Source organism: Homo sapiens, chromosome 1 (assembly GCF_000001405.40).
Source record: "Homo sapiens chromosome 1, GRCh38.p14 Primary Assembly".
Lineage (NCBI taxonomy): Eukaryota > Metazoa > Chordata > Mammalia > Primates > Hominidae > Homo > Homo sapiens.
The window spans coordinates 43,422,670-43,447,707 of record NC_000001.11 but is presented as its reverse complement, the minus strand read 5'-3'; the positions used below and the strand labels follow the sequence as shown (position 1 = coordinate 43,447,707).

Sequence of the window (25,038 nt, the reverse complement as noted above, 5' to 3'; positions counted from 1 at the left end):
CAGCCTTACCTGTGCCATGCCGACACCAGGGCATACTCGTTGTGTTCTGGGCCCCCTGGCCGGGCCATTCGCAATGGCTTCATGTGGTAAGAGCTGGCGTGATCAGCCACGTAGTTGTATAGCTGGTGGGCAGCAATGAGTGGTGTGGGGAGCTCCAATGTCCCTGAGGGATAAGTAACAGGAGACAGCAGACACTAAGCCTAGGACAGACACACTGGTCTGGTGGGGCACAGGGATGGGAGTCTTTAAGGCTCTGACTGGCAGGCAGAGTGGGTCTGCTTTCCTTAGGAGCTCCTGCATTCCTGTGGAACACTGAGATGGGACAGAAGTGACTCAGAGGGCAGGGGACATGTGACATGGGGTCCAAACTCTGGTAAGAAACAGACACAGGACAGAAACATGGGGACGTGGTATGTGTGACATGAGATGATTAACAACATGGGACCACTTGTCCAGGGAGGTGGTCCCACCAGCCCTGACCTGGAGGCACCTGTGGCCTGTTCTTTTTTGGGTTCACTGGCTTGCCCTTGGGCACTGACCTTGGTAAATGTGATTGCGGCCAAAGTGGGGTCCGTCAGGGTGGTGGGCCAGGAAGTGTCGCAGAAAGGTGGTGAGGTGGTAGCCGTGCCGCAGCACCAGATGGGCACCTAGCACGTGCTGATGCACGAGGCGCAGATGGAAGTCATAGCTGAACGAGTGCACGTGCATCAGGTCCCGCACCTTGTCACACTCCTCTGTGAACAGCATGGACAGCTGGGGAGGCAGCAGCAGGAGACAGGGTTAAGGTATGGCTGCACTGGCTGCCCAAAACACATTTCCCTCCTTCCGTGGGAAGAAGCACAAGATTTCCCCTGCTGCTGTGGCCTAGTGGAACGCCCTCTGCCAGAATGGTTTCTGTGGGAAGGCCTCCCCATTCTAGCCTCCCTTTTTCATACTGTATTGTAACTATCTCCATGAAACTAGGGCCATTTTCAGAAACTGGGCCATTTTGCTCTATCCCAGATTCCATCAGGGTCTGCCACAGACTCTAGATGACTACAGGCCAGACCAGGCACTGTGCTGCCTCAGGGCTACAGCTGAACACGCTTTGGATGACCGATGGGGTCAGCCTTGTAGTGAGTGCAGTCATGGCACCAGAATGAGCACTGACCTAGCCAGGCCATAGCAGTGAATCAATCACTGGGCCAGCCCGCCTACTGCATTACTCTACTGCCCAGCAAATGGGACATGGAGCCATGCTGCCCACAGCACACTGGGGTGCACTGACTGTGCCCGCAGCTCATTCACATACCTGTGAGTTGACAGCCTGCCCCATTGGGATTCGGGAACATTCCAGGGCAAACTGTTTGACACAGAAGTAACAGCCCTGGAGGGAAGGTGAAGATGAGATCAGGAAGGCGAGAGACAGGTGGGTCTGGCTGTCTCCACTCAGTGCTCCTCCTGCTTACCTGGAATGCCAGTTCCATGAGGATGATGCCCCCAGGCAGTGCCCGCTGCAGGTGGTAGGTGGTTACCGGAGAGCTAGTGCTCTGAAGAAACAAAAAAGGGGGCAAGGTTTGGGGGCTCACCAGCCTCGAATCAGTAGGGTGGAAGTCCCTTGGACCCTGACTTTAATGGTGTCAGTCTGGGATCAGTGACCTCGGTACATCACTCAGGGTCAATGACCTCAGGCCGTGGGAAAGTAATTTAGCATCAGTAACTTTACCATTATATGACAAGTTACCTTGGGGCTCCCATCAGTCTTGGTTTTAGGGCAGGAGAAGGAGCCTCGACCCTCTGTTCCAAGGATAGCCATGGCCCGTGGCCGGCTGGTGCTATAGAAAAGGAGGAGGGATAAGAGGATGAGGCAGGCTAGTGGCATGCAGTCATGGTGATCAGACCCAGAATCTGTTTTATATGGAATCATTTTGCAAGGGAGGAAACAGACCCACAAAGCTGCCACTGTGAGTGGCAAGGCTGGGCTTGGAGTCCAGGTCTAGACTGCAAGGCTGGGCTCTCTCCATAGCAGCTGCTGCTTCAAGGGAGGCAAAAACAGTGCTCAGTGGGGAGGTGGAGACTAAGCCTCTGCTACTGAGAGGGTGTGTGCTGGGCAGGAAAGAGAAGGGGGAAGGTGATGCCTGTCTACAATTTGATTAGGAAAATTCAAGGAGATGCTTGATGCCTGGTTAGGTACCTTCCTCTGAAAGGGCAAAGCTGCTGTCTTTTGATTGGGGGGGATGGCAGTTCCAGGCTTTCAGAGGCCTACTGCTCGTTACAGTTTAGTGCAGAGGATAGGGGAGAAGGGAAGCAGGGGAGGGACTGGGAAGAAGGGACAGAACAGAAGGGGTTGGGGGGACCCACTCACGCCAAGGGGCTATAAACTGCCAGAATTCTTGCTGGGGGTCAAAACCTCTGGTGGAAAAAATGTCCCATTTAAACCTCAAGGAAACTGGGACAAGACTTAGTGATTGGTGATTGTTAAAGATTGGTGGGAAGGGAAGACCTGGCTTTAAATTTTGCTGTAGAAACATTTTTTTTTTTAACCCAGTGTCTAAAGGAATTCAGATTTGGGGGAAAGAGCATAACTTATGGCAAGTGTGCAAACTAAAGTCCTTTAGAGAAGCTCCTAGAGCTGGGAACTGGCTGTCAAGATAGCAAGCTGGGCAGCTCCTCCCCAGGGTAGGAGGGGCCAGCCTGGCCTCTGAGATGGGATCACAGGAGGGGCAGGCACGCCTTCTCTTCCTAATGCCTGGAAGAGAGGGAAACCTGGGGAGTGGGGAGCTGGTCACAGAAACATGAGAGAGTTGGAACTGGCATTTCTGGACTACTGGCTTGAAAAGGTTCTAACTGAAAACAGAGAGGAGGGAGAACATGCCTTGATAAACTCACAAATCTGGAGACACGAAAGTAGCTATGTGTAAGGTGAACAGCTCATTTTTCGCATACAGCCACTGGGAAAGGGCAGAGAACACAGAATCTGGAGAGGAACATAGAGCAGGGGCCACAAACACGGGAATCTGAGATTTGACAGTGGATGAAAAGGTGGCTGCAGAGTTGTCCCTGAGCTCAGGGGAGATGGAGGTGGCAACAGACGGGCTGCCTACTTCCCAAGACTCAGACCTGTCAGTACTGGCCAGTGGGTGAACATGACCAAGAACAGGCCAAGGACAGTGATGCAAGTAGGCCTAGCACAGAGGTCCTTGGTGAGAAAAGGACTTCCCTGGGCCGAGAACTACATCAAATCTCAGGAGAGGTCAGTGGGATGATAAGGACAGGAATCATTAAGTCCTAGATCCAGAGGCTTAGGAGCATGTACAAGATTCACATGTGCAGGCCGGGCGTGATGGCTCACACCTATAATCCTAGCACTTTGGGAGGCTGAGGTGGGCGGACTACCTGAGTTGAGGAGTTCAAGACCAGTCTAGGCAACATGGTGATACCCCATCTCTACTAAAATACAAAAAATTAGCCAAGCAGGGTGGCGTGCACCTGTAATCCCAGCTACTTGGGAGACTGAGGCACAAGAATTGCTCGAACCCAGGAGGTGGAGGTTGCAGTGAGCCGAGATCGCGCCACTGCACTCCAGCCTAGGCGACACAGTGAGATTCCATCTCCAAAAAAATTCACATGTGGGGATGTATGCAAGTGTGTAAGTGTACAAGATGTGTGTGGGCATGAGCTTTGTGAAAATGGACACAGTTTTGTATGAGTGTCATCATGAGTTCCATAAAGCATACAAGGTCTGCAGGACACGCATGAGGGCTGTGTGAAAGTATCTGAGACCCTCACATGAGTGCAAGCCTGGTGGGATAAACATGCACAGGCCCAGCCCAAATTGTCAACATAGGACCTTGTAAAGAGAGGAAGGGCCTGTGGGGCCTCACTTGCAGTGCAGGAGGAGAAGACAGAAGGGAAAACAGGGACGGGCTCACCTGCGGGCGGGTGAGGGGGGCCGCAGTGGTACCAGCACAAAACCTATGCTCTGCAGATACTGCACATATTGCTGCAGGAAAGCCAAGCTCAGCTCCTTCAGCCAAGGCTCCTCACGGGCTCCCGGGGGCGACACATCCAAGGATTCACAGCTTGTGGGGGCCTCTCGGCTCCCAGACCCTGACTCAGGGCGATGGCGCCGCTATGAGAGTAAAGATCAAGGAAGACTCTCCCCACTGTCAACCATCCTGCTGGGGATGGAGGAGGGGGGTCACTGTGGGGTAAGCAAAGGTCTGCTAGAAGTCTGGGAGTCAGCCTTACCTGCCCGTCAGGGGGTCCAGAGGTCTCTGGGGGCCCATGCAGCCAGGCAGCTGGGTCGAAGAGCATGGCTGTTGCACAGTAATGCACCAGGCGGGATGACTGCTTCAGGGTCTCCAGCTCTCCAGCCTGGGGAAACAGGGCAGTGAGCATGGAGCAGTGACGGGGCAGGATCACAGATACTCAAGGAAGATGCAAGCTGGGGTCACTCACACTGATGGGCATGGTGGCTGGGGTAGAACGCTGCTGCCAGGTTACAAACAGGTTTTCCATCTTCATCTGGCGCTCCAGCTCTGAGGGTTGAGGGCATTAGTAGTAGCCCCAGGCATTGTCACTCCCTTCCTCCCAGACTCCACAGATTTCCTGTCCCTGCTGCCTGGCCCAGTACCCTCACCTCTGCGCTCTGCCATCTTGATCTCTAGGAACTGTTGTCCATGGTAGGTGACAGGATCAGGAGGTCTGGGCACAGGACCAAGTACGGAGCTGGGGCGGGCAGCCGTGATATCCCTTAGGGCCTCGTCAAAGGGGAATGTGTCCAGGGGAAGAGGACCCCCACCACGAGAGGACCCACTCAGTCGGCCCTGCTCACGGCTCAGCGGGGGACTTGCACTCCGGATGAGGGTCTCCACTTCCATGGTCGGCAGCAGGAATGGGTTTGGCTCCTGAGAGATGGAGCATTGCAATGGGTTCATAGCCTTTGCCCTCGGACCCTCTCTCTCATCCCAGGGCTTCCTCTCTCAGACTCTCCCTCCCCACTACCTCTGCCCTCAGTCTGTCCCATCTTTCTGGCTTCTGAGCTGGTTTTTCCTTTAACTGACCCCTCAGTAGCCAAAACTATAGGAAGAACCAGAGCAGCAGGCACCTTTTCATCTCGCACGGGGAAGTCCAACTGGCCATAATGATGGAAGAGGCCAAGCTTCTGGCTGAGTAGGCAGAAGATGAGATGGGCTCGTGCATTCTGCCACTGCACCAGGCGAACCAGCGCTCGGCCCAATGCTGCCCCCAGGTCTGGAGCCCAGTTGTAGGTCAGCAGCTGTAGCTGGAGGTCGGGGGTCAGGGTCAGTGAGATCACGGAACCCCTCTTCCCACCCAGTCCCTGGCCCCATATTTACCTTCTTGTCCACAACCTCTAGTAGCAAGAGCCTCTGCCGGGGAGCATTTCGCCCTGAGCTCCCATCACCTCCTGGCTCGAAGCGCTGCATGGCTTTGGCAGCTACAGGGTGGGGGAGGGGCACAATAGGGGCCTGGGAACAGATCCCCCTTGATCCCACCCTCCCCTCTGCAAGGTTGGAGACCCCACCAGTTACTCTTAGCCTACCCGCCCCCCGCCCCCCCGGGCCATGCCCTCACCCTGCTGTGTTGGTCTCCTCCACTGCAAGAAGTTCCTTCCCAGAAGCAGCAGATGCCGCTCAGCTGCAGGGCGGGGAGAGGGGCCCAGTTGCCCAGGGGAACAAGGGCCGAAGATCTCTGGCTCTGAACCCCTATTGAAAGGGAGGACAGACAGAAAGGCCATCCATGACACCACTCCCTGGCCTAGCCTTCACCTCCCTGGGCCTTGTTTCCACCTCTCCTAGCTCAGCTTCCTCAGGTTTGGCTTCCTGTAGGCCCAGCTTTTAGGAAGTCTAGGGGAGTTCCCTTCAATTCTATAGGATCTACACTCACAAATGCTGCTCAAAGATGCGGACACTGGTGTCTCCAGCCATTGAGGTGACCAGTGCGGTGAACTCAGACAGGATGGATGGAAGGAGGAACCGGGACACCATGTGGGCAGAGCTTCTGGACACTGAGGCACAACCTAGGAGGCAGAGGAGTCACTGTGGAGCTGCAGGATGGAGACCAGGCTGGGGTTGAGGGATGGGAGGGGAGGCTGGGGTCTCACCAATCTGAACCATAAACTCCATCCAGCGCTGAGCAACACGGGCAAACACAGGATGAAGGGTCCCCACCTCACCCTCTTCTAGCTGTGTTGTCCGGCGCCTGAAGACAGTGGGAGTAAGAGCCTCATGTCCATACATGACACTTGTATGTTTATACAGACCAAGGCCCATCTGTGACTTCACACCCATACCCTCCCAGGGCACACCACCACCACACACATACTTTTGTCTCTGGGCTCCAGAATCTGAGCCTGGCGCCCGCTCAGCTCCACCAGGAGTCCGAACACTCTCGGTTTTGTGACGCCTCCGGCCCCGAGTGTCTTCTGGCCGATCCAGGACAATGTCATCAGTTGTTTTGGGGGAACCCAAATCCCCACATTCTGTTTTACTCTGGGGGCAATGCAGTGAATGAGGAAGGGCTACTGGGAAGAGGAAAGGTGTGGGATGGGGGCACTATGGAACAGCAGTGAGCTAGGAGGATTCAGAGGTCTGGGTTCAGACCCTGGCTTCCCCAGGGGCTGGCTAAGGAGCCTTGGGCAGGTTACCTAACTTTCCTGAGCCTCACCTTCCTCACTGTAAAAGCTCTACTTATCTTGCAAGCTGTTGTGAGGATCCGACAAGAAAAATGGAAGTGAAGGCACATAGTAAGTTAAGGCTCCCTCTACATCAGTGAGAACTGCCACATTCTACAAACTCCAGTCCAAAAGACAGAGCAGTTTTTGTTTTGCTTTTTTGAGACAGAGTGTTTGTGTGTTGCCCAGGCTGGAGTGCATTAACAGGCATGATCACAACGTACTACAGCCTTGAACTCTTGGCCTGAAGCAAAATCCTCCCATTTCATCCTCCTGAGGAGCTGGGACTAAAGGTACACGCCATGGTGTCTGGCAGGACAGAGCAGTTTTATATGAAAGGACACTGTGGCAAGGCCTATGGGGGACTGGGAAGCAGGAGGGAGTGTGGGAGGAGCTAGGAGGCAGGCAGAAAGGTAGATGCCCACTTCACCACTTCTTCCATTACCAGCATATCCCAGAAGCTACGCCGGCCCGCTTTGCTGGGTGGAGTCACAGGCTCCCCAGGGACAGGGGCAGGGGGAAAGGTGCTAGCTCGGCCTGCAGAGCTCTTAGTTTCCAACGATCCGTTCCTGAGACTTCCTGTGGACATCAGACATTACAGACACCCATCACTGATCATCAATCCCCATTCTAGAAAACTGAACCTCAAGACTGGTATGACAGTGACTTGCCACCTATTCTACCTGTCAGTGAATGACAGTATATACAACTGATAGTGTGCTGCTGCATGTGTTTGTGTGAAGTGAGCCTCTGATGCAATAGCCCTCTCTAAGTGGGTGAGCAGCTGCATCCGTTCACTGCTGCCAGTGTAGCACCTGGATGATGCCCAGACAAGCTCACGGACAACTGTGAATAAGTGGTTCTGATGTAGTAGTTCTCTGACATGCTTCCCCTAAACCCCACCTTTGCACGCTCACCTGCCACACTGTCCTGCTTGGATCTGTGACATTCTCTGGACCCCAGGGACCTCTTGACTTGCATACCTGTGGGTGTGTCCTCTGTACATAGTGAAGCTGGCAGCAGCTGAAGCTCGATGATGGCATCGGCCAGGGCCTGGCGAGCTGCTCCTCGGAGTTTCTCCTCCAGCTGCACAATACTAATGTTCCCCTTTTCCCACACATCCAATCGAAGCCGTGGGGCCCCATTCTGAGCTGGAAGGAGAACAGGGACACTTGAGGGTGTCCCTAGATCCCACTCTACTCACCACCCTTACCTCCCACAGCAATAACTGAACACCTCATCCTCTGACCAAGCTGTCCCACCTGAAGAACTGTCCACAACAACCGGGCAGCGGATGACCTGGGTCAGTTGCTCAAATTCCTCCTCTCGCAGTGGGTCTGGGGGCCCCGGAGAGGAGGGGGGCCACAACGCCAGTGACAAGGGGGCCCCTCCTTCATCCACAAAGGCTAGAGTGATGCAGGCAACCCCTGGGTAGAAATCCATAGGAAGGCTCAGCTCTGGGACTTGCAGACCACCCCTCCCACGACCCTCCACTCAGCTGCAAGCCTGGGAAATGTCCTCTTAGCAATAGGATGACAAAAGGCTTTCCCTCACCTGGTGGTGCCACAGGCCCGTGCCCTGCACCGTACCTTTGCCCCCAGTGCCCTGTCCACCAGGCTTGTTATACAAGTAGATGTCCAAGTCAGGGAGGCCACCCTGTGGTGGGAGTGGATGCTGGGGAAAGAACAGCCACAGAGCACTAAGAGCAAGCAAATGGACAAAACCCTCGGGGATGGGTGCCCACAGTGGGGAATGTGGTGCAGGTAGATATGGGAGCATGAGAAGACACAGGCGGGTAATAATGGTCCCCGGGGGGGCATGGGTGTACCCAGGTCCATGGGCAAAGGTACATATAGGGGTATCGGTAGGAAAGAGTAAGTGCGTGGGGCAGGGGGCAGGGGTGCACATGAGTGTGGAGAGAGATGAGTGCCATCTCACTTGGAAGTGGTTCCGGCTGTTGCTATCTGTGTACTTGGGAGAGTGCAGGAAGATGAGCAAGTTCTGCCGTAGGTACCATGCCAGGGCTGGAAGCCAGGGCCTGCAGGAGGTGGGTAGGGCCAGATGCAGCACCTCTGAGGGGAGACTTCCAGGGGGCTGGATGAACTGCAGAGTGGGAAGAAGAGGGCAGAGCTGAATGCAGAAGTTCCAGCCTAGACTGTCCTGGAACCTGTGGCTGAGTCTGGGAAGGATGCTGGTGCCTAGAGGGGAGCTGACCTCCACATCAGCTGGTGTCAGCTTGCAGTTCCGAACAAGCATAACTGTGATGACGTCCAGCGTGGCCTCATCCAGGCGCCGACATAGAACTCGCACGAGCTCATCCGTGATCTCAGGACCTTGACACAGCCATGGTGGGAAGGTGGGGACACTGGTAGAGGATCCAGCTACCTCCATAGCAGCCCTATCATGCCAAACTCAAAGAATCCCCTGTATACTAGAGGCAGTGTTAGGAGTGCTGGCTCTGGAGGTAGCCAGCACTAGGTTCCAATTCTGCCAAACTACTCGTTATGTCACTATGGACACTTGAGTTTTACTCTCAAAACCTCTGTGCCTTCATCCATAAAATGAGAATTATAATAGCATCGCCCTCATAGGTTTGTTGCAAGAATTACACTAGAAGTTATTTAACAGTCTCAGCCCAAGACCAGCACATGTTAATTGAGCTATAAATATTAGCTGGAAAATCCAGTTGCCTACTGGACACCTGGGGCAAAATATATCCCAAATAACCATCCTCTTCACCCCGAACCCAGTCTGGTATCAGGTCGGTGGCACCACCAGTTCTCCAGCCACCCCAGCTCCCCTTCCCCAAGCTGTGCCTCAGTCAACTGCAGTCCTAACCCTGAACATGGCAGAAGCCAGTCCCTTCCCATGCAGCTCCTGCTTGAGGAAAGACCCGAGCACAGCAGGAACTAGAGGAGGGACCCAGGGCAGAGTAATAGGAGGTTCTAAGAGAAGTCCCAGAGGGTCTGGAGCCTCCAGCTAGTATTTATGGCTCACTTAACATGTGTCAGGTCTTGGGCTGAGACTGTTACATAACTTCTAGTGTAATGCTTGCAAGGTTCTAAGAGAAGTCCCAGAGGATTCTGGAACCTCATGTGGCGACTCCCCTACCCCCTCCTCAGACCTTACCTGCCTGCCCAACACCATGGACCAGCAGCTGGATATGTCTGTCCACTTGGCCCACAGGACGAGCAGCATCTGAACTGCGGCTAGAGACCATGTCTAAGGGAGAACGAGGACCCTACAGGGAAAACTGTGGTCAGGGCCCCGGTTCCAGAGAGCAAAGTGCAAGAGGAACACAGGGGCATCAGAGAGTGGGAGTGATACATGCCGAGGCTTCCTCAGAGTAGATGGGCTCTTGGCTTCGGGACAGAGCGAGGGAAGGGGGCAGCGCATCCCCTTTCCATGGCCGGTCACTGCAGGATGTCTCTAGGAGCCTGGGAAAGAGCAGCATGTCTTTGGACATGCCTCCTCCCAGGCCATCCTTAATTCATGCCCTACCCACCTTCCAAGGGCCACATACCGAAGATAGTACACAGCCTTTGTTGCTCGCTCCTGGTAAACAAACATGTTTTTCCGGTTCACCACAGAGAAGGCATTGAGCACAGAGCGCAGGGCCTGGATGGCTGGGGGAATAACATGGGCTCAGGAAACTGCCTTTTCCAGATCCTTCCAATGCTCACCTGCCCTCTCATGCCAATCACATACCCCGAGAGACCCCCATGCTGGGCCCCATTTTGAGGCGTGAATGGACTCGGATCACAGTTCCCCACACAACGTCACAGGAGAAATGGCCAGGGACAAACTGCATTGTGGCTGCCAGGTACCCACGGGGCGCACAGCTCTCATCAGCAGCATAATCTGGGTGAGGGGGAGCAGGGATTAGAAATGGGACACACCACCCTCTGCCCTCCACAGACTTCTCACCTGGGAACTGGCCTACTTGTCCTCACTCCTCCAGACTCATCCCTGACTATTGCAGAGAAATGATGATCATTCTGGGTAACACGACAGGGCCAGGCAGATGCATGCCCTTAGGAACACAGGTCATATAGCACAAAGGCTTCCAGAACTATCTCAAGGAGACTTAGAGAAGGAGCTAATGAGAGGTATCAAGGCAGGCAAAGCATGAGGAAATCCTCAAGATCATGCCAAGAGATTCTGACCCTGTCATAATATATGTCAGTAGCACTCTAACACTATGTCCTCCAGGGAGTTGCAACAGTAATCTCATTAAAACCAAAAGGGTATGGCTGCTTATGCACACCAGCTGCAGAGGAGGGATAAACTTTGTCCTGGGCTTTGGAAGACAGAAACGCCAATAAACCCAAAGGGTAGTGTGGCAGTACACAGGAGCCCATGGCCACAGTACAATGCCTCCTTCGACCCTTTTCAGGTTTCCAGGGAGCCTTCTGGTGAATCAAAGTGGCAGTTTTCTCAGAGAAGCTGCTGTCAAGTGTGAACAGCACACAGGCTACCCAGGAGGCTGAAGTTTCTGTGTAAAGGCAGAGGCTCTGGAATGGAATGCTGGTTGCTAAGGGTTTCAGGGAAAAATTCTGGAGAGACTAAAATGAGGAAGGGCTGTGTCTGGGTTCTGACTGGTCTTACATCTTAGGCTGCCGGAAGTCATTCTGAAGTAAAATTGTTCACCTGTCCTAGCTCATCTTCAATTTGCAGAAGATGCCTTTGAAACCATGGGAATCCACTAACTATGGGGACTCTGCTTCGATATGGAGGAGATCCCAGGATGTGCTGAGAGATGCATTCTCCTGGAGATATCAGAAACGTTTGTCTACAGACTTGCTGAGAATGTTAAAAATAAGGAGTGGTCTGATTTTACTTTTAAACCAGAGGAGAACTGCAAAGGAATGTTATGGTTCAGCTTTTCCTCTATCCGTCTGGGTGAGAGGTCATCAGGAGTAAGAGAAGGGAGAAGTGTCGAGACTTCAGTTACCATCTTGAGTGGATTATCATGTTCCCTTACCATGACTAGAAATCCCAAAGCAGTCCTGTGGCTGCCTGTCTGGAGGAACAGCCAATCAGAAGGCAATTCTACTGGCCTTCAGGCTCCTCCCCTCTGGATTTCTCTTACTTGGGAACTGGCCCGCTTGTTCTCACTCTCCCAAACTCCTCATTCCTGACTATTTCCCTGCCAGGGAAAGACGGTCATTCTGGTTAACAAGACAGGGCCAGGCAGAAGCAGACTCTTAGGAAGACAGATCATGGCCTGGTGCCCCTTCAGTGATCTCTCCTCTTCTGTATTCTTCAACCTCTCCCCCTCCCCTGGCTCTTTCCCTATAGAATATAAACAAGCTCAAGTCTCTACTTTATTTTAAAGCTCCTTCCTTGCCCCCATCTTCCTTTAGTTACTGCCGTATCTATTTTCTCTGTCTCTTCACTGCCAAGCTACTTGTAAGAGTAGTTATTCTCTGCCCCACCTATCACCCTCTTTCACTTTTCATTTCATCTGCTTTCTATTCCCATCTCTCTACTGAAATTACTTCCATGAAAATCACTGATGAACTCGCAGCAGCAGCCAAGGCCAGTGATCCTTTCCTGTCCTATCCTCCTTGCTCTCTCTCTAGTACTTGGCACTGATGACCAAGTAATGAGGACTCTGCCCTCAGCTTTCACCAGAGTATTCGGTAAAAGAAAGGGCGGCAGCACTGCCTTGTGAGGGAGGCTCCTGGGTGGGATCTCACCATCACTGGGCAGTGGTGCCCGCTGACGGGAGTGGAAGGGAGTCTCACTGCGCCACAGATCTTCTTCACTCTCGGCCACCAGAAGAGAGTTACACACGTGGCTGTCATGAAGGTCTTGAAGAAGCAGTCGCTGGGAGAAGGAGCATGAGGTCAGGGAACTGAAATACCTCCTCCTAAGTGGGTGGTGGTGGTCAGGGGTGATCAAATGCCAGAGAGAATGACCACTATCACTGGGGATTGGAGGTCAACAAGAATATCAGTCATCACAGAGAGGTCAAAGCTCAGGCCTCTGAGAGTGATTCTCAGTCAGGAACACTTGCCCCTTTGGTGCCAGAATCTGTTCACCATCCGTCGAGTCTCAGCTTAAAAATCACTTCCTCTAAGAAGCTTTCCCTGATACTTCAGATGGTCAGATCCCTGTTACATGCTTTCGTAGCAGCTTCTACTGTTCCTTTTAGGATTCTTCACAATTGTAATTGAAGTAAGTTGTGTAATTCAGTTGTTCAACTGTCCCCCATTCTACACAAGCTCCACAGAGTTACAGCGTCCCTCTGTCTGGGTCACTAGTATATCACTAATGCTAGCACAGTGCAATGAGAGGGAGTATCTCATGGTTACTGGGATGGTATGAGAGAGTAACCCACTGTTACTGGGGGTGGGTTGTGGAGCACTCCCAAGGCTGTAGGGAGCTGGGGGAGAAACAGCATCCTACTAACTGGGGAAGTCAAAAACTTTCCATAATTATTGATTCTGAAATGGACCAATAGCCTCTGAAAATCAAGTTCTTAGAAATTTGGTTCTCATCTGCTCTGTGTGTCCGGGTCTGGAGAGTCCTGCCCCTTACCTGGTTGACCTCCCTGCAGATCTCCCCAACTCGCCTCACCAGGAGCTGCTGCAGGTGGCGACACTCAGTGCCCGGCCCCCCATCCTCCCGAATCAGGCTCCTGGGAAGGAAGGATAATCTGACCAGAACTGCAGTGGGGAGGAGTTATATGTAATGGCATGATATGTATATGACATAACTGCAGTTATACGTATCACGAGGGGGAGAGAAAGTCATGGAGGTGGGGCCAAGAGAAACCATGAAAAGGGAGCAGGCTTGGACAGAGGTAAACCTGGTGGGAAATGGAAGAGACGGAATTCTCAAGAGCAGTTCTGGATGCCGAGGCTCCACGCTTGCTTCACCAGCTCCCATACGGGTACCACACTGAGGCTCCTTTATGCTGTGCACCTCTTCTTTCTTCTCAAGTCTTCTTCAGAATGGTGGTCTTCCTTTCTTCTCAGCCCCACCTTACCCTGCATATGCCACCCACCCGAGATGAGAGCAGTAGTGAACTGATGCCTATGCAGGAATCCTGGCTCTGTCACTTACTGTGGCCTTGGGCAAGTATTTAACTGGCCTGTGCTTCAGTTTCTTCACCCATATGATAAGGACATTAATACGCCGTAGGGTTATGTAGATAAATGAGTGGATTCATGTAAGCACCAGAACAGTGCCTACCACATAGTATGCACTTGATAAATATTAGCTATTATGCCTTATTATTTTTTGAGACAGTGTCTTGCTCTGTTGCCCCAGCTGGAGTGCAGTGGCACAATCTCATTCACTGCAATCTCCACCTCCCAGGTTCAAGATTCTTCTGCCTCAGCCTCCCAATTAGCTGGGACTACAGGCGCCTGCCACCACGCCCAACTAATTTTTGTATTTTTAATGGAGACGGGGTTTCACCATGTTGGCCAGGCTGGTATCGAACTCCTAACCTCAAGTGATCCGCCTGCCTCGGCCTCCCAAAGTGCTGGGATTACGGGCATGAGCTACCACGCCCAGCCTTATTATGCTTTATTTTTATACACGAACTTCTAAAGCTGCTCTGATCCTTAGATGTTGTTAATGCTCAGCGAGAAGCCAAAATCCCCATCAGCTTTTCGACTCTCATCTATAAGACAGTTGAATGTGATGTGCTTAGCTGTAAGATGTGGGAAGTGATCGGGAACCACCAACCTAAGAATACAAGTTGGATCTCTACCCAAGCTCTCAGTCCCAAGTCTTACTTCTAACAACACTGGAGAGAGGTACTGTGGGAGCAGAGAGAAGAGGTTAATGGGAGCATGAGGGTGCAGGCCCTGGCTTCTACTTACCGTGCATGTGCATACACTTCCACACGGTCCTGCAGGACCCGGACAATGAGCCAGAAGTCAGGCAGGCAGGGCCCAGGGAGGCCTGAGAGTGAAGGCTGTGGAGGTGCTGGCCCAGGTGGAGTCCGCAATGTGAAGGGGGCCTTCTCACCAAGGGTGTCATTGGGACCCTCACTGTCTGAGCCACTGCTGCCACCATCATAACCTGTGTCAGATGCATTGAAGGTCAATCCCATCCGAAGCTGGGCCTGACTCATCTGATCCTCCAGGTGCATCTGGCTTGATGCACTTCAGATTAGTCCCTTCTGATGTCTCCTGTCCAGACCTTTCCCAGTACAGCCCTAAGCCCACCTCCCATCAGCTTAGAGTCCTTCACCCCGTCCCCCCAGCTTACCTAGGTGGTCTGAGTCCACACTGCCCTGACTGGACATGAGACTTAATCCCCGGCTGGGCCCAGGCTGACTCCCTGGATAGAGAAGGAAAATGCCTGGAGCCTCTCTCAATCCTGTCTAGGGCCTCCCTCCAAAAATGGAAGCATGGTCAGGGATCTGGTCCTGGCCTCCAGACTGCTGCCCAAGTCCTCTCTTACCTCCCTGTGGCACGCGGGGCAGGCTGATGAGGGGGACACCCTCAGAATCCTCTGGGGACCCAGGTGCTTGGGGGCTGGCTGTCAGGGTCTGAGGAATAGGAAGTCAGGACTGAGGTATAGGCCCCACACACCCACCACCCCCCTCCATTCCCAGGTGAGACTCACCTCCCCTTCGATGCCTTCAGCCCTGTCCTCATGACTGTGCCAAGCCCAGGCCGCTGAAGAAGGCTCCCCATGGGACCCACCTGGCTGTTGGCCAGCTGCCACAAAGAAGAAGCCACTGTCAGGGTCTTCAAGAAGAACATGGCCAGGGAGATGGAGGCGGCGGAACTCCTAGAGAGCAGGAGCCAAGATCACAGTTTAGGCAGGGCAGTCCTCCCTACACATGGTGAGCTACACTTCCTCATGAGACGCTCCTAACTACCTGGTAAAGCAGATGCTGGCATCCCCACTGCTGAGGTAAGAAAAGATTCAGTGACTTGCCTAAGGTTCAACAGGAGCAGTGACCAGGTTGGGAGCTGGGTTTCTTTCCAGTGAGTTGGGCTGCCAAGCACAGGGGTTAGGGCAGATGATGTGGTGAGCAGGGAGACAGGAGGGATAACTCTATGAGTTCGAACTAACAGAGGGCCTTCCAGTCCTGTGCCTGGGGCCCAGGGAAGGACGGGCCCCAAGGTGACCCTGCAGTGTTTGGAGGGCAACTTACCTCCTTGAATTGTGTGAGGGAACGCTCTGGCCCAAATACAAAACTCAGTGGCAGAGTTTGGCGAAGGCAGGTGGAGCGTCCAGGAGAACTATGGATATGGGCAGCTGCGCGGTGCAGGGCAGGACTCTGTGGGATGCCCCCTCTTCGGAGTGCCCCCACCATCTCATCTTCCAACAACCAGCGGATCTACAGTTAGACAGCAAGTGACAAAGGGCATCTCCCTTGCTTCCTTGGGCATCCCCTTACTCCCGGACTAGAAGATAATTTGCCTCACAGACTGAGAGAGGCCTCACTTCTATCCCAGAACAAAGGGGGTACCTTATCTCACTCATACGATGGAAAGGGAATCAGTTACAGTGTTGGGGGTGGGGGGCTCACCTCATTCATGGTGGTCTCAATAGCCAGTCTGTGGGGCGTGGCCAAATTGGATAGTCCTGGGTGCCTAATTGGAAGAAAGGTTTAGATATTGGTTTCCAGAAAATGAAATTGAAAAGCAGTAATGAACTCTGACAGGGAGATAAAGAAGTACCTCTCCTCTTCTGGGGGTGGCAGTGGGGGCCCGAGGCCATCATCTGACCTTAAAGATGATGGCTGCCCTGGGGATCGTGGAAATGAAGCACTGCTTTCAGATGTTGACCTGAACAGGGTGGGAACAAGTCAAAGGTCAGGAGTTACTATCCTACCAGGGCCTCCTCCTTACTTCATTCTTGGACTCCTCAAGGTCTCCTTAGTCCCCAAGTGCTCTAGATTCGCTTAGTGGTCCCCCTACCCTAAAAAGGTCCCAAACCCCCCACCAAACTTGCTGCCACACCGGTGGTGCTGAGGGTCCGAGGCCGTGGGGAGCTCCACTTCCAGGGGCAAAGTCAGCATGAAGACATCCAGAGTCACACTGAGGTCCCTCAAGGGAACTCGGCCTCCAACTGGGGGGCCCTCCAGACTGGAAAGCACCTGGCCTGGGAGAGGGGGAAAGTTAGCAGTTGCTGAGGGCTCTAAGACAAGCACAGATTCCAAGATCTATGTGTTAAAAGACATAACCCTAGGCTCCCCTCCACTCCCACTTAGGCAGGCTGTTCCAGGACCTTTGGCTTTCCCTCGGGCTGCCTCAAACTCACCCAGGCAGGTAGGCAGGCTGCACACAGGTACTGAGCTGTGCTGCCCACGTAGCCGCACGGAGCACGTGAGGTGCAGGAAGAGCGGTGGCAGGTCATGAAGGAAGCTCTCAGGCCCAGTGGGTGAGTCGCCCCCCAAGATACTGAAGGAGTCTTCATCAGGATTCACAGTGTCTACGTCTGACAGCGAGGCAGAGTCTAGCCCAGCAGGCCCCAGGTCTGATTCACGGCTCTCCCGGTATTCTACCTCTAGCTCTGGGTCACTCTCAGTGACCACACAGCAGGCAGATGTGTCTCCTAGTAGTGCATGTCACATGGTCAATGAGAGAGGCTGGCAGTGGAACCCTTGAATCTCGGCGTGAAGCAGCCAGCCTTCCCCACCTTGACTCACTTGCCCACATACCTTCTTCTCCCATAAGCTCAGCCTCTGAAAACTCCAGGTCACTGATTTTTCTGTCTACTGTGTCCCGAGGCCCCTCATCCTAGGCAAAAGAATGAAGCAAGATGATGAGGCAAGAATCCCACTTGCCTCATCCTAGGCAAGTGGGATTACACTTGTCTTGCCTTAGACAGCTTGATCTAAGGCAAGACAAGAGCCACATCCAGGCCTCAGGGAACCAAGACTCAAGAGGGTCTGGGTGGGCCTCTGGGTTGAGGGCACGAGAGAGGTAAGGAAGAGAGCCACTCACTTCTCGCCTGCTGGATGGAGGGCAATAGAAGAAGTAGTGGGGATTGGAAGGCACTGTGCGGAAGTGGAGACGACTGATCTCTAGGAACTTCTCCTGTTGTGGGGTTTAGAAGGAGGTTAGAATGTCAGTCACCCCTCAACAGGATACTACTCCCTACCCTAGAGCAGGACACATGCATACCCCCCGCCCAGGAGAGAATCCTGTCCCTCTGCACAGGCAGGACTCTAACACCTCTTCTACCCTCACCCAAGCTTCCCACCTGGATGACGCTATGAAGGGCACCATGGGCCTCTCCTCTGAGCTGGCAGACATCTGTCAGAGAGATCTCTGGCCCAGGGTCTGGAATGCCAGGGACACGGGTGCTCTGAAACTCAGGCTCGCTTAGGTCCTCGGTCTCTATGCTGAATGGTTGGGGTAAGGATGTTGAAGTGTTAAGAACCATCAAGCTCTGAAGTAGCCTGCCTCTCAACTGGGGAGCAGCACAGGAAGCCTTTTTGTCCACAGGAAGAGTACTTAGCGTAATGGCATGGGTGGTAAAAGAGGCAAAGAGAACCAACCTACACATTTTGGCTTTAACCTCCATATTTCTTTTTCTTTTTTCTTTCCTTTTTTTTGGGACAGAGTCTTACTCTGTTGCTGAGGTAGGAGTGCAGTGGCGCCATCACCACTTGCCTTCTGAGTAGCTGGGACCACAGGCATATGCCACCACGCCCAGCTAATTTTTAAATTCTTTTGTAGAAACAAGGTCTCCCCTGGTTGCTCAGGCTGGTCTTGAACTCCTGGGCTCAAGTGATCCTCCCGCCTCAGCCTCCCAAAGTGTTGGGATTACAGGAGTGAGTGACTGTAATATTTCATATTACAGCCTTAACTTTCATATTTCTTGATGGATGGGGATTTCTATGAAACAGAGTAGCGATAACTCCCAGTTTTCTGACTTGGATCACTAGATTGAGGGTGATATTTTTCACCATGAATGAAGAAAAATCAAGGGTTAGTGGGAAGAAAATGCATTCATTTGGGGGGCACAAAAAGTGAGTATCTAGAGCTCCAGAGAAAGAACCGGACCGGAGTTCCAATCTAGGAGTCATCAGCATATCCATCCTTCTAGTTCTTCTGTTTCCCCAACGCTAACACACTGCAGATGCTAGACCCATAGCTGTCTGCCTGCTTGCCTTTCTCCTTCTCTCCTCCCCTTCCTCCCTTCAACAGGGACCTGCTGAGCCCCTAAGGTGAGCTGGGGACTTAGCAGTGAGCAAAATACAGTTTTGGCCCCCATGAAATTCACAGATTGGTTGGGGAGATTCCTACTATTGTGTGGATGTCCTCAGAACAAGTCTCTACGTTCACGGTTAGCACCAGGGGACTCCCTATCCCTGACTCAGCTCATCACTCAACACCAAAGCAGGGGAGATGGGGAGAGCCTGGGAGGGAGACTGCTGCCTGTGCCAAATTGGTGAGGAAGGCTGCATGGGAGTCCGTGAGCCGGCGACAAAGCACTACTGCTTCTCAGGTGCTTAGATACTACCTTGCACAGTCATTCCCCTGGACTGGAAGGTCCTTGTTTATAGGGACTTGGTCTGTGTACCCCCTTATCCATCATTCAAGTATAATCCTAACCTGGATTCAGAAGCTAGGATAGCTCGTTCCCGAGGTTCAGCACCCTCCTCCATGCTGCTGCTGAAGGGCCCAGGGCTGAGAGGACCAGGACTTGGGGGTGCATGAGGCAAACCCCAAGTGTGGCCACACAATGCAAGGAGAAATGGGGTGATGTCTATTTCTTGTAGTAGCTCCTCACAGGCATCTACCGCTGTCAGCAAATCCTGGGAGGTCACACTCTGTGCTTGCTGCAAGCTGCGGAATAGCCCTGATGGAAGTGGAAGGGGCCATGAGGCTTGAGCTCTGGAATGGCCTCTCCAGTCCCCACCCTGTAATCCCTGTATCTCCCGCAGGGCCCCACTCCTCCCTCCCACGGCCCTCCTGCTCACCACGGACATAGCACCGCTGTGCATGCTCCTGCAGCAGGGCACAGTGGTTAGCTGCCTCCTTGTACCGGGGTTCCATCCAGGCTGAGGATGGGGAGGGGTGGTCGAGGAACTGAGTCCTAGGAAACGAAGGGAAAATGGAACTTGACCAACTCCCTTAAGTGATACCTCACACTCATTAGCCATCCACACTCCAATGGATCATCTATAGACACATATCAAGTGTATTCATGGCCTAGCAAGTTCAAGGGTTTGCTGAGGGAAATCAAGCAAGGAGCCAGCAGGATATGGCAGCAACTTACCTGCCCACGCCTATTAGTGTGTACTTATTTCTTGGCTGGGAGCCATGGCCCGGCGAGGACTTAGGTCAACACTGAAGGCACTCACCGGAAGATGAGGTCTCGGGGCGCCTGAGGGGGCTGCATGCCAACCATTTGTTCCCTCAGCGCTTCCAGTGAACAGCTGTAGATGTAGACAGGACACCGGGTCCGGGGCCCATCCGCACTCTCTGTCTGGGAAGCCTGACGCCCAGCGTAAGCCTGTAAGTCTCGACGGAATGGTGGACTTAGCTCTCCTTGATTCTGGGCATTGTCTGTGAAGAAAAGGTGTCACGTGGTCTTCCAGCTCTATCTGTTTCCCACTCCCACTCCTGCCCACCTTGAGTCGGCAGCCTTACCACTAGCCAGGGTCACACTGAGGACAGGGACGTGGGACTTTGTAGCTTTGATCCCAGTTCCTCCTAGATCTTTCAGACTGGGAGCCCCACTCCAATCCCCAAACTTAGGCTTTGTCTCCTCTTGAGGGGGTCCCTCCAGGCCACAGGCAGCCAGACGCTGGACATCTGAAGAGGATCAGACATAAATCAGAGCTGCCTGGTGGGCCAGTGAGGGAGCTCAGGGGTTTGTATCTGAGGGGGTTCGTGAGGAGGTCAGCAGCTGGCACCTGAGAAGGTAGCTGGGAGAAAAGTCAGAAACACATGCTGGGGGTTCACAAGCCTTGCATAGCAGCGCCACTGAGGGGGCTGGGCAGAGATGAGAGGCTTGAGAGTTTCAGGAAGACCTACACTCTGTAAGAGAAAAACAGAAATTAGAGCAATCTATAAGGGAATGTCCAACCCCTGTTCCCCTCCTCCACCCTAGAGCTGACTCATCTTAGGTATAGCTTGAAAGATCCAGGACAATGGAAAATGACGGCATTGTGTCATTGGCAGATGCCATTTAGTCTCAAGGGCGGTAGAAGGTTGGGGCCTGAAGATGTGGTGCTGGAAGGAGGTCAGTGTGACAAGGGCTCAGGGAGAAGAATCGGTGCTGACCAGGGAAGTAAAAGCGGAGTCTCCTGTGGCCTGGGTGCTGCCGACTGCTTGCTCCTTCGGGATCCCATGAACCCCCAGCAGTGGCCCCTCGGCACCTACAATGGGGGTAGAGATGGGTGAAAGAGGGCAGGGCCAGCAGAGAGGCGGGACTCTGGGTTGAAGAAAGGGGGAGGAAGGGGAAAGCCAAAACTCAAAGACAGAAATCACCCTGTGAGGGTGGGGGAAAAGGGCTGGGCCAGGGTCTGGTGTCAGGAGGATGTGGGGAACTCACCTGGAACGTGGCAGGTCCGCCGCAGCACCTCACTCAAGAAGGCAGCCTGGTCAACGGGGGTCAGTGGGATCTCCCGGTCACTCAGCTCCTGCCCCAGGCAGCTGTGCAGCAGGCACAGCACCATGTCGTTGGCAGGACAGGACCCCTCGGCGAAAGGGACACCCTCTGGCTCTGCCCGACACACACTCTGCTCAGCACCAAGAGCCTCCTGCTGCCCGGTGCCCCCGGCTCAGCCCTGACCAGCTGGCCCCTCCTTCAGCCTCATGGGCTCCTCCTGCCCCCACCACTCATCTGCTCACTTGCTGACCCATCTGTTTGTTATTTTCTAATACTTCCAGGCTTGCTGGCCCTTTAGGTGTGGGGTGAAAGGGTACCAGGTTCACCTACCTCTGGCAAGCAAGAGGAAGAACATCTGGAGCTGCTGGCACTGTGGCAGCAATCCCATTAGGTCAAAATGGAAAGGGATCTCATGGACGCAGGTGTCTCCTCCCTGATCCAATCCTACGAGGGAGGAAGGACAGGACACAGTGAGACGCAGATTACCCTACCCACTCCCCTGCTCCACCAGTGGGCCGCCTGCCCCACTCACCATCAGAGACCCTCGGCTCTGGGGGCAGAGGACCCCATTCCTTGCTCTGACACAGCTGTATCAGGTATTCAAAGCTCAGCATGGAGCCTATGCAGGCAGCATCCCGTGGGTGGAGCTACAGGAAGAACATCAGAGGTCAGGAGTCAACCCCTCTTAGCCCAGGATACCCTGGGTTCCAGCTCTTCAGGAAGCTTCAACAGTCCCAGCCATTCAGAGGGACCAGGAAGCCCACAGACTGCAGTACTCCAAAAGAGATGGCACCCCAATCCAGTGAGAGAGGTGCGGGTACTGTTCTGAGGACACTCACAGCTTGCGGGATCTCAGAATACGTCAGGTCCTGGAGGTGCTTCCAGATTCCAGGGCCAGGTCCCACTCGCCCATACTGTGGCTCCACCCACACCTCAGTGACCAGATTGAGCTCTGAGTCTCCCTCCAGGGCCTCCACTTCCACATCATTGTCATCATCTGTCGAGAAGCTAAAGGAGGAAGGGCTCTGAGTCCAATGCACAGCCTCATGGCAGGGAGTGAACCTCATGGAGGGAAGGAGGCAGGCACAGAGGACAGCCACGAGTCATACAAGGCCTTCCCAGACCAGCGTCTGCCTGATGAAGCATCTAAACACCGCACCCCCTCCCTGACTTTGGGATCAAGATCATCTCAGGATATGGGAGCCAGACCTCTAGGGGATGGTGGGGAGAAGGCTGACTCTGCAGAGGCGGCCCTCACAGATGGCCTGTCTCACCTGTCTTTGGTGGAGGTAGAGTGTGGGGGGAAGAGGATGTACTGGACAACACAGGTGTGCTTCTCTTCAGCTGCAGCCTGCCCTGGTGGTTCATTCTGTGGGCAAAATGGGAGATCTTGGGCAAATCCCAGCCAAGGCAGAGATCTGGCCTGGCCTAGCTCTGGCCCTCAGAATTTCAGTTCCCTCACCAAATTGTCCTATGACTGCAGCCTCAGACCTTGAGCATCCTCTGGCCACAGGGTCCCTGTGAGGCAGTTTCCAGCAGTCCCAACCCAGCTCAGAGGTGAGTGTCCCTGGGATTATGACAGACCTTGGCAGGGAGGTGTCATGGGGGATGGCACGTACCTGAATTGGAAGCTCCAGAACCATGTTGATGATTCCTTCCCCACTGCAGGCGAAGTGGAATCCTTCAGAAAGTCGGACTCTGAAGCCCCATAAAGGCCGGGGCAAGGCCAGGATAAGGGAAGAAGAGACACTGAGACTACAAGCTCTCCCCACATACACCCACCTCCCAGCAGTCCTCAAGGAGCCAAGTCTGCTGCTGGCCCTGCTTAGACTGGCGGTCCCTCAGGGTATAACAAATCCAGTGAGGATGAGAGAGGACAAAACAAATCGGGTGATGGGAGGAGACAGGGAGGGCAGTAGCAGATGCTGCTCTATACTTCAGACTGGGAATTAGAGAGGAGAAGTGTGTGCTATAGGCTTTTTGCTAGTGTCCCAGTCTACACTTGCTCTCTCCTTGCCCCGAGTGACCTGGCAGGCTTGGATGACATACTCAGTGAGGATGGAGAGGAGCTGGGCAATGGCACTGAGAGGCAGCGCAGGGGCCAGTCCTGACGGGACACTCCAAAGCCAGCGCTGATGGTAGAGGTAGCGGGACAGTGACGCCAGGCTAGAAGAGGCTGAGCGGCCTGACACCAAGGGCAGTGGACCTGGTGGCTCCAATGTCAGCAAGAAGGGTGCCCGGTAGTCCAAGGGCAGCTTCTCATACCTAGGAAATGGGACAACTCCCCAGCTATCTCTCTCATCCCCGGCTAAGCCACGCCCTTCCACACCTCTGTACCACTCACAGCTGGCTAAGCCACGCCCTTCCACACCTCTGTACCACTGATACCCGGCTAAGCCACGCCCTTCCACACCTCTGTACCACTCATACCCGGCTAAGCCACGCCCTTCCACACCTCTGTACCACTCATACCCGGCTAAGCCACGCCCTTCCATGCCTCTGTACCACTCATACCCTGCTAAACCATGCCCTTCCACATCTCTGTACCACTGATACCCTGCTAAGCCACACCCTTCCACACTCCTTACCACTCATACCCCGCTAAGCCACACCCTTCCACACCTCTGACCTACTCATACCTCGCTAAGCCACGCCCTTCCATACCTCTGTATCACTCATACCCCCCTAAGTCACACCCTTCCACACCTCTGACCTACTCATTCCTCGCTGAGCCATGCCCTTCCACACCTCTGTACCACTCATACCCCGCTAAGCCACGCCCTTCTGCAACTCTGTACCACTCATACCCCACTAGGCCAGACCCTTCCACACCTCTATACTACTCACACCGGGCTAAGCCATGCCCTCCACACCTCTGTACCACTCATACCCCGCTAAGCCATGCCCTTCCACACCTCTGTACCACTCATACCCCACTAAGCCACGCCCTTCCACACCTCCGTACCACTCATACCCTGCTAAGCCACGCCCTTCCACACCTCACCCCGCTAAGCCACACCCTTCCACACCTTTGTACCACTCATACCCCACTAAGCCACGCACTCCACACCTCTATACTACTCACACCGGGCTAAGCCATGCCCTCCACACCTCTGTACCACTCATACCCTGCTAAGCCACGCCCTTCCACACCTCTGTACCAACCTGATGAGCAGTTTGTCCAGTGGCTTATGCAGGACCACAAGGCAGGGCCGGTCAGACAGGGCCTGCTGTGGCCCCAGCACGGGGGGTGACTTGGAGGGAGAGCTGCCCCCACCAGCACCCCCTAGCCCTTTTCGTTTCACCTTGGGCGTTGGCTCCTTGCTTTGTACCCGGTGGGGGAAACGCAGCCGCAGGATCTCTTCCCTCAAGCCTGACACAATCTGAGGGGAAAATGTGGTCACATCCTCTTACTCCCATCTCCTACAGGTCTGGGAGAAGGGGCTCACAGACAAAGTGAGACACAGCCCTCTTCTCCAGGTCTTCCTTGGTCTGGGGGCTCCTCCCTCTATTAGACCTGGCCCTGTGGGGTTTGGGGAGAGGGAGCTATCCTACACCCTAGGGCTCCTTGGTCAGAGTCAGTCAGGGCCCAGCTTACCTTGTGCCGGGCCGGTGCTGGTGTGCCAATGGGAAAACCCAGGCGAAGAACCATGCATGGGGCCTTGGAAATGATACGGACCATGTAGAAGGAATTGGGGGGCTGGTCTGGGGCACTGGGGAGAAATGGGAGTCAGTGAGCAGCCCAAGGTTGGCAGGAAGTAGCAGTGAGGTCTGGGGTTAGAGGGAGACATGGGATGAGGTGGCGGGGGGGT

The 25,038-nt window shown here is 54.0% G+C and overlaps 1 protein-coding gene across 2 annotated transcripts in view; it reads right to left on the bottom strand.

The window, feature by feature from the left end:
• The window catches only part of SZT2 (SZT2 subunit of KICSTOR complex), a 64,349-nt gene that overhangs the window by 6,540 nt on the left and 32,771 nt on the right, over positions 1-25,038 (bottom strand). The window contains exons 14-67 of one of the 2 annotated variants that reach the window (NM_001365999.1): positions 24,825-24,939; positions 24,392-24,609; positions 23,276-23,491; positions 22,846-22,924; positions 22,501-22,595; positions 22,066-22,234; positions 21,759-21,873; positions 21,557-21,670; positions 21,170-21,340; positions 20,899-20,993; positions 20,529-20,652; positions 20,263-20,427; positions 19,974-20,178; positions 19,590-19,705; positions 19,222-19,468; positions 17,864-18,005; positions 17,605-17,697; positions 17,319-17,397; positions 16,919-17,212; positions 16,618-16,759; positions 16,336-16,443; positions 16,185-16,248; positions 15,807-15,992; positions 15,269-15,436; positions 15,104-15,191; positions 14,909-14,980; positions 14,518-14,719; positions 13,223-13,322; positions 12,379-12,508; positions 10,385-10,537; positions 10,200-10,302; positions 10,008-10,113; positions 9,806-9,917; positions 8,891-9,009; positions 8,615-8,779; positions 8,266-8,350; positions 7,939-8,103; positions 7,660-7,827; positions 7,122-7,255; positions 6,328-6,494; positions 6,107-6,204; positions 5,890-6,022; positions 5,578-5,708; positions 5,340-5,440; positions 5,090-5,266; positions 4,622-4,889; positions 4,441-4,520; positions 4,231-4,356; positions 3,912-4,111; positions 1,724-1,814; positions 1,449-1,529; positions 1,292-1,366; positions 540-753; positions 10-163 (exon numbers count right to left, since the gene is read on the bottom strand). In NM_001365999.1, coding sequence (NP_001352928.1) covers positions 10-163; positions 540-753; positions 1,292-1,366; positions 1,449-1,529; positions 1,724-1,814; positions 3,912-4,111; positions 4,231-4,356; positions 4,441-4,520; positions 4,622-4,889; positions 5,090-5,266; positions 5,340-5,440; positions 5,578-5,708; positions 5,890-6,022; positions 6,107-6,204; positions 6,328-6,494; positions 7,122-7,255; positions 7,660-7,827; positions 7,939-8,103; positions 8,266-8,350; positions 8,615-8,779; positions 8,891-9,009; positions 9,806-9,917; positions 10,008-10,113; positions 10,200-10,302; positions 10,385-10,537; positions 12,379-12,508; positions 13,223-13,322; positions 14,518-14,719; positions 14,909-14,980; positions 15,104-15,191; positions 15,269-15,436; positions 15,807-15,992; positions 16,185-16,248; positions 16,336-16,443; positions 16,618-16,759; positions 16,919-17,212; positions 17,319-17,397; positions 17,605-17,697; positions 17,864-18,005; positions 19,222-19,468; positions 19,590-19,705; positions 19,974-20,178; positions 20,263-20,427; positions 20,529-20,652; positions 20,899-20,993; positions 21,170-21,340; positions 21,557-21,670; positions 21,759-21,873; positions 22,066-22,234; positions 22,501-22,595; positions 22,846-22,924; positions 23,276-23,491; positions 24,392-24,609; positions 24,825-24,939 — 7,518 coding nt within the window. The remainder of the gene's footprint in view (positions 1-9; positions 164-539; positions 754-1,291; positions 1,367-1,448; positions 1,530-1,723; positions 1,815-3,911; positions 4,112-4,230; positions 4,357-4,440; positions 4,521-4,621; positions 4,890-5,089; positions 5,267-5,339; positions 5,441-5,577; positions 5,709-5,889; positions 6,023-6,106; positions 6,205-6,327; positions 6,495-7,121; positions 7,256-7,659; positions 7,828-7,938; positions 8,104-8,265; positions 8,351-8,614; positions 8,780-8,890; positions 9,010-9,805; positions 9,918-10,007; positions 10,114-10,199; positions 10,303-10,384; positions 10,538-12,378; positions 12,509-13,222; positions 13,323-14,517; positions 14,720-14,908; positions 14,981-15,103; positions 15,192-15,268; positions 15,437-15,806; positions 15,993-16,184; positions 16,249-16,335; positions 16,444-16,617; positions 16,760-16,918; positions 17,213-17,318; positions 17,398-17,604; positions 17,698-17,863; positions 18,006-19,221; positions 19,469-19,589; positions 19,706-19,973; positions 20,179-20,262; positions 20,428-20,528; positions 20,653-20,898; positions 20,994-21,169; positions 21,341-21,556; positions 21,671-21,758; positions 21,874-22,065; positions 22,235-22,500; positions 22,596-22,845; positions 22,925-23,275; positions 23,492-24,391; positions 24,610-24,824; positions 24,940-25,038) is intronic. The other variant, NM_015284.4, reaches the window with a different exon arrangement.